At 36.9% G+C, this 13,242-nt stretch overlaps 1 protein-coding gene across 1 annotated transcript, besides 1 other annotated feature; it reads right to left on the bottom strand.

Moving 5' to 3' along the window:
• Window positions 1–6,929: 6,929 nt before the first annotated feature.
• On the bottom strand, window positions 6,930–13,131 carry GIMAP7 (GTPase, IMAP family member 7). Its single transcript, NM_153236.4, has 2 exons — window positions 13,058–13,131; window positions 6,930–8,069 (listed from the first exon to the last, which is right to left on the bottom strand). The coding sequence occupies exon 2, from the start codon at window positions 8,026–8,028 to the stop codon at window positions 7,126–7,128; it is 903 nt and encodes a 300-aa protein (NP_694968.1). The 5' UTR covers window positions 8,029–8,069; window positions 13,058–13,131; the 3' UTR covers window positions 6,930–7,125.
• Window positions 12,980–13,239: an enhancer, noted in NCBI's record as "active region_26834". NCBI's record gives its function as "activates an Ori minimal core promoter by ATAC-STARR-seq in GM12878 lymphoblastoid cells {active_cell/tissue: GM12878}" and the evidence as "EXISTENCE:reporter gene assay evidence [ECO:0000049][PMID:35858748]".

The following is a 13,242-nucleotide window of genomic DNA, read 5'->3' as shown; positions in this document are numbered from 1 at the left end:
AGAGAAATGCAAATCAAAACCACAATAAGATATTATCTCACACTGGTCAAGATGGCTACTATTAAAAAGTCAGAAAAATAACATGCTGGTGAGGTTGCTGAGAAAAGGGAATGCTTATACACTGTTGGTGGGAGTGTAAATTTGTTCAATCATTGTGGAAAGCAGTATGGCAATTTCTCATAGAGCTAAAAGCAGAACTACCATTCAACCCAGCAATCTCATTACTTATATGCCCAGAGGCATATAAATCATTCTACCATAAAGACACATGCACATGAATGTTCACTGCAGCTCTATTTACAATAGCAAAGACATGGAATCAACGTAAATGCCCATCAATGACAGATTTGATAAAGAAAATCTGATACATATACAACATGGAATACTATGCAGCCACAAAAAGAATAAGGTTTTGTCTTTTCCGGGAACATGGATGGAGCTGGAGGTTGTTAATCCTTAGCAAACTAATGCAGGAACAGAAAACCAAAAACCGCATGTTCTCACTTATAAGGGGAAGCTAAATGATACGAACTTATGAATGCAAAGAAGGAAACAGCAGACACTGGGTTCTACTTTAGGGTGGATAGTGGGAGTAGGGAGAGGTGCAGAAAAGATCACTATTGGGTAGTGGGCTTAATACCTGGGTGATGAAGTAATCTAGTTTAATTTACCTAGAAATGCTAGTTTACCTATATAACAAACTTTTGTATGTATCCCTGAACCTAAAATAAAAGTTGAAAAAAAAAAGAAAGAATGTACCTCAACACAATAAAGGCCATATGTGACAAGCCCACAGGTAACACCATACTCAATGTTGAAAAGCTGAAAGCATTTCCTGTATGATCAGGAACAAGACAAGAATGCTCAGTCTTGCCACTTTTACCATGGTGCTTGAAGTTCTAGCCAGGGCAATTAGGCAAGAAATAGAGATAAACGATAACCAAATTGGAAAGAAAGACATAAAATAACCTCTGTTTACAGATGACATGATGTTATACATAGAAAACCAAAGACTCCACTTGAAAAAAAAATACAGAAATCAGTTGTGTTTCTATCTACTAACAATTCACTCTACAAAAAAGAAATTAAAGAAACAATCCCATTTACATTAGCTACCCCCAAAATACTCAGGAATAAATTTAACCAAGGAGGTGAAAGACCTATATGCTGAAAACTATAAAATGTTGATAAAAGAAATTGAAGATGACACAAATAAACACAAATATATATATATATATATATATATATATATACACTATATGTGTGTGTGTGTGTGTTTGTGTGTGTAATGTTTATGGATTAAAGTAATATTGTTAAATGTCTTTACTACCCAAAGCAATCTATATAGTCGATGAAATTCTGTCAAAATTCTAATTCCATTTTTCACAAGAGTGAAAAAGAATCTAAAATCTATATGGAACCACAAAAGACCCTAAGTAGCCAAAGCAATCTTCAACTAAAAGAACAAAGCTGGGGCCCTCGCACTACTTAATTTCAAAATATGGTAATCAAAACAAAGCTATAGCAATCAAAACATACTATTATAATTAAAACAAAGCTATAGTAATCAAAAATTATGCTACTAGCATAAAAACGGACATAAAGACCAATGAACAGAATAATAAACCCAGAAATAAGCCTACACATTTATGGTCAGTTGAACATAGAATGTACAAAGACAAAAGGATAGTTTCTTCAATAATGGTGTTGGGAAAACTGGATATCCACATGCAGAAGAATGAAATTGGGCCATTATCTTAAAAAAATCAACTCGAAATGGATTAAATAGTTACATGGTAGGCCTAAAACTGTAAACTGCTAGAAGAAACATGGGGAAAATCTTGATCTGGGTGATGATTTTTTATGACACCAAAAGCATAGGCCACAAAAGCAAAAATAGACAAACGGGGTTATCTCAAACAAAACATATCCTGCATAGCAAAAGATACAATCAACAGTGTGAAGAGACAACCTATGGAATAGGAGAAAATATTTGTAAATCATACATCTCACAAGGGGTTAATATCCAAAATACACAAGGAACTTAAACAATTCAACAGCAATTAAACAAATAACCCAATTAAAAAATAGGCAAAGGACCTGAACAGACATTTCTCAAAATAAGACATACAAATATCTTTATGACAAGAATATGAAAAAAATGCCCAACATCAGTAATCATCAATGAAAGGCAAATCAAAACCACAATGAGATATTATCTCATACCTGTATATTACCAAAAAGACAAAAGATATCAAGTGTTGGCAAGAATGTGGAGAAAAAGTAACACTTGTACACTGTTGGTGGGAATGTAAATTGGTACAGCCATTATGGAAAACAGGATGGAAGCTCCCCCAAAAATTAAAAATAAGAACTACCATATAATCCAGCAAGCTTCTGGGTATATATCTGTTATATTCTGATTGTTTATGTTCCCACAAAATTGATATGTTTAATGTGATGATAAATTTTCATGCTTAGTGTGATGATAACAGGAGATGGGGCACTTGGAATGTAACTAGCTCATGGGGGTAGTGACCTCATAAATGTGATTAATGCCCTTATATAAGAGGCTCAATAGGAAGTTTAAAAAAATAAAATAACAAAACAAAACAAATACAAATAACAAAAAACAAAATAACAAAAAACAGATAACAAATAACAAAAACAAAAACAAAAATAAAAGAGGCTCAAGAGAAGACCCTTGTCCCTTTCACCATGTGAGGTTATAGTGAAAAGATAGATGTCTATGAGGAAATGGGCCTTTACTAGACGCTGAATCTGCCAGTGCTTTGGACTTCTCAGCCTCCAGAACTGTAGGAAATAAATTTCTGTTGCTTATAGGCCATGCAACTTATAGAATTTTGTAATAGCACTCCAAACTAAGAAAGAATATTGGTATCAAGAACTGAAGGTGCTGCTGTAGTAAATACCTAACATGTGCAAGCAGTTTTGGAACTGGGTAATAAGTATAGGCTGGAAGTGAGAGCTTTGTGCTAGAAAAATCCTGCATTGCTGTGAATGGACCATTAAAGATGATTCTGCTGAAGTTCAGAAATCCTCAATTTTCTTAGTGAATACCTAAGTAGATATACCAATAACTTAGGTTATTGGTAGAAATATGGCTAGTAAAGACCATTCTGATGAGGTCTCACCAGTGAGAAATGAAGAATGTGTTGTTGGACAATGAAAGAACAGAAATCCTTATTATAAAGTGGCAAAGAACTTGGCTGTGTTGTGTTCTTGTTCCAGTGTTTTGTGGAAGGTAGAATTTGTGAGTAATGAATTGGATATCTGGAAGAGGAAATTTATAAGCAAAGTGTTGAAGGTACAGTGTGGCTTCTCTTCACTGCCTATAGTAAAATGTGAGAAGAGAGAAATAAAAATGGATTTGTTAATTAAAGGGAAGTAGAACTTAAACATTTAGAAAATTCTTAGTCTATCCATATTGGAAAAAGATAAGAAAGCTTTTTCAGAAGAGAAAATGATGTGGCCTATTGATCATTTGATAAAGAAAATTAGTATGGATCAGCCGTCTCAATGGAAGTCATGTGCTATTGATCAAGGCAGTGAGCCATCTAAACAGAAGCAAGGACCTATTGTCCAGGACAATGGAAAAATGACCCCAAAGGCATTTCAGAAATCAGTAGGGCTGACTGCCATCACAGAATGCTAGGGCCCAGGGGATCAGAACAATTTCAAAGGAGGGGCCACTGCTGCTCAGCATTACCTCACATTGTGGACTCTGCTCCCCACACTCTGTTGCCATGCTGCTCGGCTCCCCTAGGTGCAGCTCTAGCAGGCTCTGGTGTGGTGTGTGCTGAGCTCAGCAAAGCTGTGGGGACAGGCAAAACTTTGGAGGCTGGACAACCATCAAAAAGGGTCCAAAAGGCCGGACCTCCAGATCAGTGGGCCTTGAGAGCATCAAGCCAAAAAAGATTATTCTTGAGCCATAGGGTTTTGGACTTGCTTGGTAACTGTCACTCCTTTCTTCATTTCTATTTTTCCCTTTCAGACATTTTCTTGAAAACAGTGAGCCTTTGCTTTAGGGAAAATAGTGGTAGTATTTATGGTCAATGATAAAGTTCCTAGATTTTAAGCAAAAATTTTAGACAGCTTGTATCAGCTGCTGTAAGTATATAATGAAATCTGTCATTATTTGATTATCTGCATAACTGAGTCAGTATTTCCAAATGATCAATGCATAGTTGTTGCGGGAAGTCAGGGACCCCAAACGGAGGGACCGGCTGAAGCCATGGCTGAAGAACATGGATTGTGAAGATTTTATGGACACTTATTACTTCCCCAAATTAATACTTTTATAATTTCTTATGCCTGTCTTTACTGCCATCTCTAAATGTAAGTTGTGAAGATTTCATGGACACTTATCACTACCCCAATCAATACCCTTGTGATTTCCTATGCCTGTCTTTACTGCAATCTCTTAATCCTGTCAGCCGAGGAGGATGTATGTTGCCTCAGGACCCTGTAATAATTGCATTAACTACACAAATTGTACAGCAGGAGTGTTTGAGCAATATGAAATCTGAGCACCTTGAAAAAAGAACAGGATAACAGCAATTGTTCAGGGAATAAGAGAGATAACCTTAAACTCTGACCGCCGGTGAGCCAGGTGGAACAGAGCCATATTTCTCTTCTTTCAAAAGCAAATGGGAGAAATATCACTGAATTCTTTTCCTCAGCATGGAACATCCCTGAGAAAGAGAATGCGCACCTGGGAGTGGGTCTCTGAACTGGCTCCCCAGGGGGCGTGGTCGTCTCTTATGGTCAAGGCTGCAGAGATGAAATAAACTCCAGTCTCCCATAGCGCTGCCAGGCTTACTAGGAAGAGGAAATTCCCGCCTAATAAATTTTAGTCAGACCAGTTGATCTCAAAACCCTGTCTCCTGATAAGATGTTATCAATGACAATGGAACCCAAAACTTCATTAGCAATTTTAATTTTGCCTCAGTCCTGTGGTCCTGTGATCTCACCCTGCCTCCGCTTGCCTTGTGATATTCTATTACTCTGTTAAGTACTTGATGTCTGTCACCCCCACCTATTTGCACACTCCCTCCCCTTTTGAAAATCCCTAATAAAAACTTGCTGGTTTTTGTGGCTTGTGGGGAATCACGGATCCTACCAACGTGTGATGTCTCCCCCGGATGTCCAGCTTTAAAATTTCTCTCTTTTGTACTCTGTCCCTTTATTTCTCAAGCCAGCCGACGCTTAGGAAATATAGAAAAGAACCTACGTGATTATCGGGGCAGGTTCCCCGATACATAGTATTATAAAAATCATACATGGGTAAGAAATCTTGCCAGGCACAGTGGCTCACGCCTGTAATCCCGGCACTTTGGGAGGCCGAGGTGGGCGGATTACGAGGTCAGGAGATCCAGACCATCCTGGCCAACACGGTGAAACCCCGTCTCTACTAAAAATACAAAAAATTAGCAGGGCGCAGTGGCGGGCGCCTGTAGTCCCAGCTACTCGGGAGGCTGAGGCAGGAGAATGGCGTGAACCCGGGAGGCAGAGCTTGCAGTGAGCCGAGATCGCGCCACTGCACTCTGACCTGGGCAAAAGAGCAAGACTCCGTCTCAAAAAAAAAAAAAAAAAAAAAAAAAGAAATCTTGATCTTGGGAGGGTGTGTGTGTCGAGGAATTTATCCATTTCTTCTAGATTTTCCAGTTTATTTGCATAGAGGTGTTTATAGTATTCTCTGATGGTAGTTTGTATTTCTGTGGGATCGGTGGTGATATCCCCTTTATCATTTTTTATTGCATCTATTTGATTCTTGTCCCACCATTGTATGTTTGACGCTCATAATATACTTGATTTCACTGATTCACAACTGGTAAGCAATTTGCCTCAGAATGAATTGTACCTTAAGTCTCACCCATATCTGATTTAGATGATAATTAGATGAGACTTTGGAGTTACATTTTAAAATTGATGTTGGAACAAGATTTTTGAGGCTACTGGGATGAAAGTAATGTATTTTGCATGTGATAAGGGCATACATTTTGGGGAGCCAGGAACAGAATGTTATGGTCTAAATGATTATGTCCCCCCAAAATTCATATGTTGAAATCCTCACCCCCAATGTGATGGTATAAGGAGGTAGGCCCTAGGGAAGTGATTAGGTCATGGGGGCAGAAGCTCCAGAAATGAAATTAATGCCCTCATAAAAGAGGCTGAAGAGAGACCCCTGAATATACACATTCCACTGAATATATATATATATATATTCCAGTGGATAAAGATATATTTCATTTCCTTTAGGTATTAGTCCATTTGGGCTGCTATAAAAATACCATAAACTAGGTGGCTTATAAACGACTACATATATATTCCACTGAAATATATTTTTATCCATTGTGAATAATGCTGCAATGAGCATTATTATAGAAATATCTGCACTCCCAGGCTCACTGCAACATTATTCACAATAGCCAAGATATGGAAATAACCCAAGTGCGTCCATGGACAGATGAATGAATAAAGAAAATGCAGTGCATTATTAACATTCCATTAATAAAGGAACATTATTCAACCTTGAAAAAGAAGTAAATCTTGTCGTTTGCAACAATATCGATGAACCCAGAGGACAGTATGCTAAGTAAAGTAAGCTAAGCACAGAAAGACAGGCACTGCTTGATCTCACTTACATGTGGAATTTGATAAAGTAGAATGCACAGAAGCAAAGAATAGAATGTTGATTGCCAGGGACTGGGTGTTGGGGGAAATGGGGAAATGTTGGTCAAAGGGTACAAAACTTTAGTTATGCAGGATGAATAACCTCCTCTGGAGATCTAACATACAGCATGATGACTATACTTAATAATACTGTATTGCATTTTTGCAATTTGCTAAGAGAGTAGACCTTAAATGTTCTCACCACACCAAAGAAAATAGTAACCGAGAGGTGCTAGATGTGTTAATTACCTTTATTTCATTATTTCACAATGTGTGTATATATATATATATATTTAAAAATCACATTATATACATTAAACATATTTTATTTTTATTTATCAATGATACCTTAATAAAGCTAAGGGGAAGGAGGTATTTCTCTAACTATCTTTGCAAAATACAATTCATCCATTAACAAATCACAGTAAATTAGGAAGAATAAAACTTACATTTCGACAAAAACCTATGCCATATTTCTGAAAGCATCTTCCAAATCCTATTAAAAACATCTTTAAATATATTTCTCTCAGCTTCTTCCCTTATATTTTTTATTTTTTCATCATATTTTAATTTTAGTAATTTAATTTCTTTCTCCTTTTCTTCCTCTGATTTATGCTTATCCTCTTCTACTAGTTTAATTTCTTCATTTAATTGGTCAGTGTAGATTTTCCTCAAAACCTCTTCCCGTTGTTTCAGCCTTTCCTCTGTGTCCTTGTATATGTCATCAGAAAAGTAAGCCCCTTCGTTGCACTGCACCATTTTCTCTATCAGCTCCACCAACTCCTGCACTTGACTTTCCTTCTCTGCCTTACTGGTTTTCTTGCTGTTGCTAAAGGCACAGCAGCGGTTCCCGCACTCCTTGACGATGCTTTTTAGGCCCACATCCGCATCTGCTATGAAGTCATGGAAGCTCTGGCCCTCCAACTCTTCTTTGCGAGTGAACAAGATGACCATGTGCTTCATGGCTGACTTCCCAAAGACAGCCTTGATCAATGCAACGGTTTTCTGCTCCTCCTCTGTGTAGCGGCCCAGCAGCAGAACTAGGACAATAGCATGGGGCCCTGGGCAGGAGGAGATGATGCAGCGGCTGATTTCCTTGCAGGTGGTGTCCAGGCTCTCCTTGGTGTCAAAGAGCCCTGGAGTGTCTACAACAAGAAGGTCTCTCCCCTGCCATTCCCGGGATGCTTTTTGACAGTTCTTGGTAACAGCTTGGGCAGCAATTCTAGAATCAAAGATTTCCTCTCCAAGGATGGTGTTCGCTGTTGCACTTTTCCCACTTCCAGTTTTCCCTACCAGAACGATCCTCAGGGAGCGGTCCTCACTCTCAGCCATGCTCACGTCAGGAGGCTCTAGAACTTAGGCACGTACAAGACCTTAAGGAGGGGAAGATAGGGGAAAAAAAGCCAGTTTTAGTAAGTGAGATCCATTCCCAACCTTCTTTTCTGCTTTCTCTTTCTTCCTGAAAATTTGTAATATCCTATTATCCATATTAATCACAGTAAAGACAGAAATGAAATAGTCCGATTAATATGGAAGAAATAATAGAGAAAGCAGTTAAAGAGTTTCCCCACAAAGTAGTACCAGGTATAGATGGTTTCACAGGTGAATTCTATTAAACCTTTTAAGATCTGATGATCTCAAAGCTACCTAAAACTGCTCCTGGCCATATAAAAAGAAGGAAAAAGTTACTTTTTTTTTCTATGAAGCAAGTATATTGATTCCAAAGGCTGACAAATATTTCATCAATAAAGAAAACTAAAGATGTGTCTCATTTGTGAATACTAATATACAAATCCTAAATAAATTATTAGACACTAATAAATAATAGACTGTGATTAAGTGTGATTTATTTCAGAAATACTATGGTGGGTCAATATGAGAATGTTGATTGTTACAACACATCCCGTTAATAGGTTAAGAAGAAAATTAGCTAGATGCAGGAAAGATATTTGGCCAAATTTAACACTGATTCATGTTTACGGTAGTTTGTAGAACAGAAAAAATATCTATTTCTTTAACATGATTTTATACAAATATAATTTTTTCAATTTTGTCATCTTTTTTTCTGGAACTAAAATAGTTGATTATAAAGTTCATTCAGATGAAGGAAAATGCAAGTTAGCCTAGACAATCAAGGAAAAGAAGAACAGGGGAAGACTAGCTCTACCAGACAATTAAATATTATAATCTCTATAATTAAAGCAGTGTGATATTGGTGAGTGAATAGAGACAGGCCATGAAACAGAAACAGAGAATTCACAAATAGGCCATTGCTCATTTTATGTTCATTTATATTCCATTCAATTACATTAACTTACATTCTGTGAAGCAACACCTCATACCAATGGGAAAGATGATGGACACTTTTATTAGCAACACTGAAATAACTATACCACCATATAATTGGATGCAATTTTAAAGATAAAATTGCCTCCAATTCCTCATATCATACAAATTCCAAATAGATCAGAAATTTGAATGCAAAAACTATCCCATATAAATAATAAGAGAAACACGGGTAAATTTTTTGTAACCTGGGAGTGGGGAGGATGTTAATAACTAAGATTTAAAATAGTATAAGGAAAAGACTGATAAGTTTGATTACACAAAAATCCAAAAAATTATGTAAGGCATACAACACCATAGGCAAATTAAAACACAAATATCAAACTAGGAAAACATTTTTTCCGATTTATCTCAAAGAGGGCTACTTTTCCTACTGTATGAAGAATAGCTAAAAGTAAAGAAACAAAAGACCAATGACTTGATAGAAAATCGGGCAAGATATGAACCCACGGCCAAAGAAAAAAATATATAAATTATCCTTGAATACATAAAAAGATATCCAAGTTCATTCACAATAGAGAAAAATAATTAAAAACATAGAAAAAATAAAAAATTCTCAGAGATCACTATTTCTCTACTATAGGTATGGCAAAAATCCATTTCCCAGCATAATCTGGTGGTAAAGGTATGGGGAAAACAGATAATTTCTTGCATGACTAGTGTGAAGGGGAAAACAACCTAACACCTATAGAGGAGAAGGTGGCAATACCTTGAAAAATTACACATGCATTTACTCTTTGATTATCAATCCCGATTTTAGGATTTATCCCAGAGCTGCACTGACAAAAATACAGAAAGGAATGATGCCCATCAGTGGGGACCAGTTGAATAAACTAAGGAATATTCATACAGAAAAGTACAATCCAACTGCAAAAAGGAATGAGAAATATATCTATATACCAGTATGAAGAGATCTCTGTGATATACTGCTAAGTGAAAAAAAGCCAAGTGAAGAAAATAATGTATAGTTTACTATCATTTATATAAGAAGAAGGAATATTAGTTTTATATATATAAATAATTTTTATGTGCATGTGAAAAAGCAATGGCAGAACCATTTGAAAACTAAACAAAAGAATTATTTATATGAAGATGAGAGAAACAAGGTACAAGGGACAGGAACAGAAAATGGTCATTAGACTTCTTTGAATATCCTTTGTTTTTGCAAATTTGATCTTGAGAACATTTAAATAGTTTACATAATTATACAATAAAAATTATATTTTAAAACACCAGTAAAAGTTAAAAGAAACGGAACAAATAAACCTAACTGTATCTTGTGTCAAGGATGAACCACACAAAGATTTGTCCTGAAAGGCTTGAAAATGTAGTATTAATAATTTCACTGTGTGTGTGTGTGTATGTGTGTGTGTGTGTACTGTTTTGAAGTCCATCTAAAAGGCATAAACCATGGTCAGCCAAGTAGCAGTGAGTGCACTTAATGCCCAGATTGTGATCTTCAAATGGTATTTCCCACAAAAGAAATTAGGACTACTAGGAAAAAGTACTGATTCCAGGTCTGGGCCAGTAAACATACAAGTTTAGCCTACAACATCTTTCATACTAGAAAGTAGGGATGCTATAAAAAATTACTTAGTTTTATCAGAAGGGCTTGGAAGCTACCTTAAAGAGGTTCCAACTGGACAAAGATGGAATAATTTGAGCATCATTAATAAAGATTATTCCAATGGATTAAAATATACCAAATATATTGAAATCCAGTAGTTGATAACAACACCATCTTCCTGAAAGAAGTTAATTGCTCCCTTTGGAGTATGCTAAGAAAGTGACTCATCATTCTGAACATTGACAACTAAAGGGAAAGAAGCATTTATTTTGTCTTTCATACATCTCATCTTTTAACTATATCTCACAAAAATGAAAGAATCACTGAATGAAAGTTCCTTTGTGTATGACTATTCCATCTAATAAATAAATAAAGAATGATAGAATATCATCTTTTGGTAACTTTTAATGAAACAAATTCATTCTAGACAATCATTAACATCTGCTAACATCACAAAAAGAGAGGCATTCAAACATATGTGCCTTCTAATAGAAGTTTAGGATAGCATCTATGAAGTATTCCCACTAAAAAAACAAAGTCAAACTTTAATCTGATCCAACCTCCCCATTCATATAAATTCACACAAAACACTGGAGCTAGAAGCGAATGTTAAATGACATTGTTAGGATGCAATCAGCAGTATGAATACTGCCCAGTTCTGTTGGACAAAAGACCTTCCCTTCCTTAAACAAAGAAATTTAACACAAAGAAACAAGGAAGGTGAAAACCTACACATTAAGTGAAACATAAGAGATGTCAAACAATTGTAATGTATGAATTTTACTTAGATCCTACCTCAAACAATTTTAAAAATTATGAGATCTTCAGGGAAATCTGAATACAACTGGTAGTATTAAAATTTATAGTTGCCTTTTGAAGGCTGTTTATGAAATTGTGGAAATGTTTTTAAATGGTCTTTATCTTTCAGAGACACATACTCAAATATTTACTGATAAAATGATGTAATGTCTGACATTTGCTTCAAAATAATCTGTGATAGAGTTGAGAATAGGAGCAGATATTTGAACAAGACTGGCATAAATTGATAACTGTGAGATTTTAATATAGGTACATGGAAGTTCCTTATATTGTTTTTACCTTTGAATAAGTATAAATTTTTCACAAATAAAAAAATTAACCCATGTATAGTGTAACCACTATCGAGCAGAGACTGCATATCAGAACACCCTGATAAAACATGTTTTGTATATCTCGTTTATTCTTCAAAAATACTCTACAGTGAAACTAATTTTATTATTCTAATTTTTTAAATGAGGAAGCTGGTGTGGCTCAAAAATTCTGGGAAACATGCCCCTGGTCACTGTGCTAAGAGGTATTGGGCAGAGAAGACATTCGATTCAAAGTCTGTCTGAATCTACCATGCTCACTCTTAACCGTGCACTCTACTGCCTGTTCTTGGCTACTCTCAGGCCATGATTCTAAATTTTCATTGACATGGCACAGAGATAGACCAGTGGAGGGCAAAGGAGATGATCCACGCTTTCTGCAAAAAGGTGAGCTGGGAGCCAGCCTGTTATAAGGGAACCGTGAGGAGGGCTCCGCATTTCTCGTGGACTTTTCCATCTCTCTCATATTGAGAAGCCAAACGTGAGAGAGATGGTCAGAAATATCACTTTAAAACTTTCTCAAGTTTTAAAACTTTCTCAAGTGGTTCCTGGAAGATCCAGAGGACCTCCAGCTAAGAGAAAGGCTGAGAAATGACAAAAGCATTTACAACAGAGGTGAACAGTTCTAAACTGTGGCCAGACCCACCGGTTCTAGAAAATTTCGTAGCTCCTTGAGATCCAGTTCCCTCTGCTATAAAAAAGGAAAATAAAACCAATCTTGCAGGGTTGTCCTTAGGCTTTCATAGAGTGATTTCTATAAAGGTCTTTTATGGCAACTCTTTTTGTACTGAATGGCGCAGCAGCCCCACATGTTACACTGTTAGGGACACAGCTTGTCTCTGCTTAATGCTGGAAAAAGTCAGCAGACTGAATTCTAGTGTTCCTCCGCCATGAGTGATCTGGGTACCCCTTGGAGAATCATCAAAATCTCTGGGATTGGGATTCTGATTCTTTTTCTGTAAGAAGAGGGACTTAGACAGGTGGACTCTAAATTGCCTGTCACCTTTACAAATCTGTCTTAGGAGCCCTTAATTTCTTATGAAGGTTATCAGGCAACACTCTGTGTCTATCACAACAGCCAGTGAGTGGAGGGTGCACTATGCAGCCATGTGTGTCCTGTTACATATGAGATGCATGGGCTCCATGCAAACAAATCTCCTCACTCCCCTTCTACTCACCCCTCCCACAGCACCTTCTATGCAGTGCTGCTTAGCACAGTGCCTTGTCCCTCCTAAGGGCAGAGTCCACTCCAGCCACACACCCTGTCCCCACTGCCCTTCGCAGCCCAATAGCACCAGACCCTCTTCTCAGCCAGGCTCACCTTCTCTTGAACAAGTTGAATTTTCAGGTTTTCTCCAAGGAGGCTGCTTGAGCTGTTGCTTTTGCTTTTACTGTGAGTTAAAAGTGTCTGTACCGCCACCAAAACCTCTCAGTCAGGAAGCTCAGGCTGGGTGGAGCCACACACACAAAAATGTTTGTCTTTAAAGAAACAGAAATACGGCTCCA

Source organism: Homo sapiens, chromosome 7 (genome assembly GCF_000001405.40).
Source record: "Homo sapiens chromosome 7, GRCh38.p14 Primary Assembly".
Taxonomy (NCBI): Eukaryota; Metazoa; Chordata; class Mammalia; order Primates; family Hominidae; genus Homo; species Homo sapiens.
This window is presented reverse-complemented; position numbering and strand designations above follow the sequence as displayed.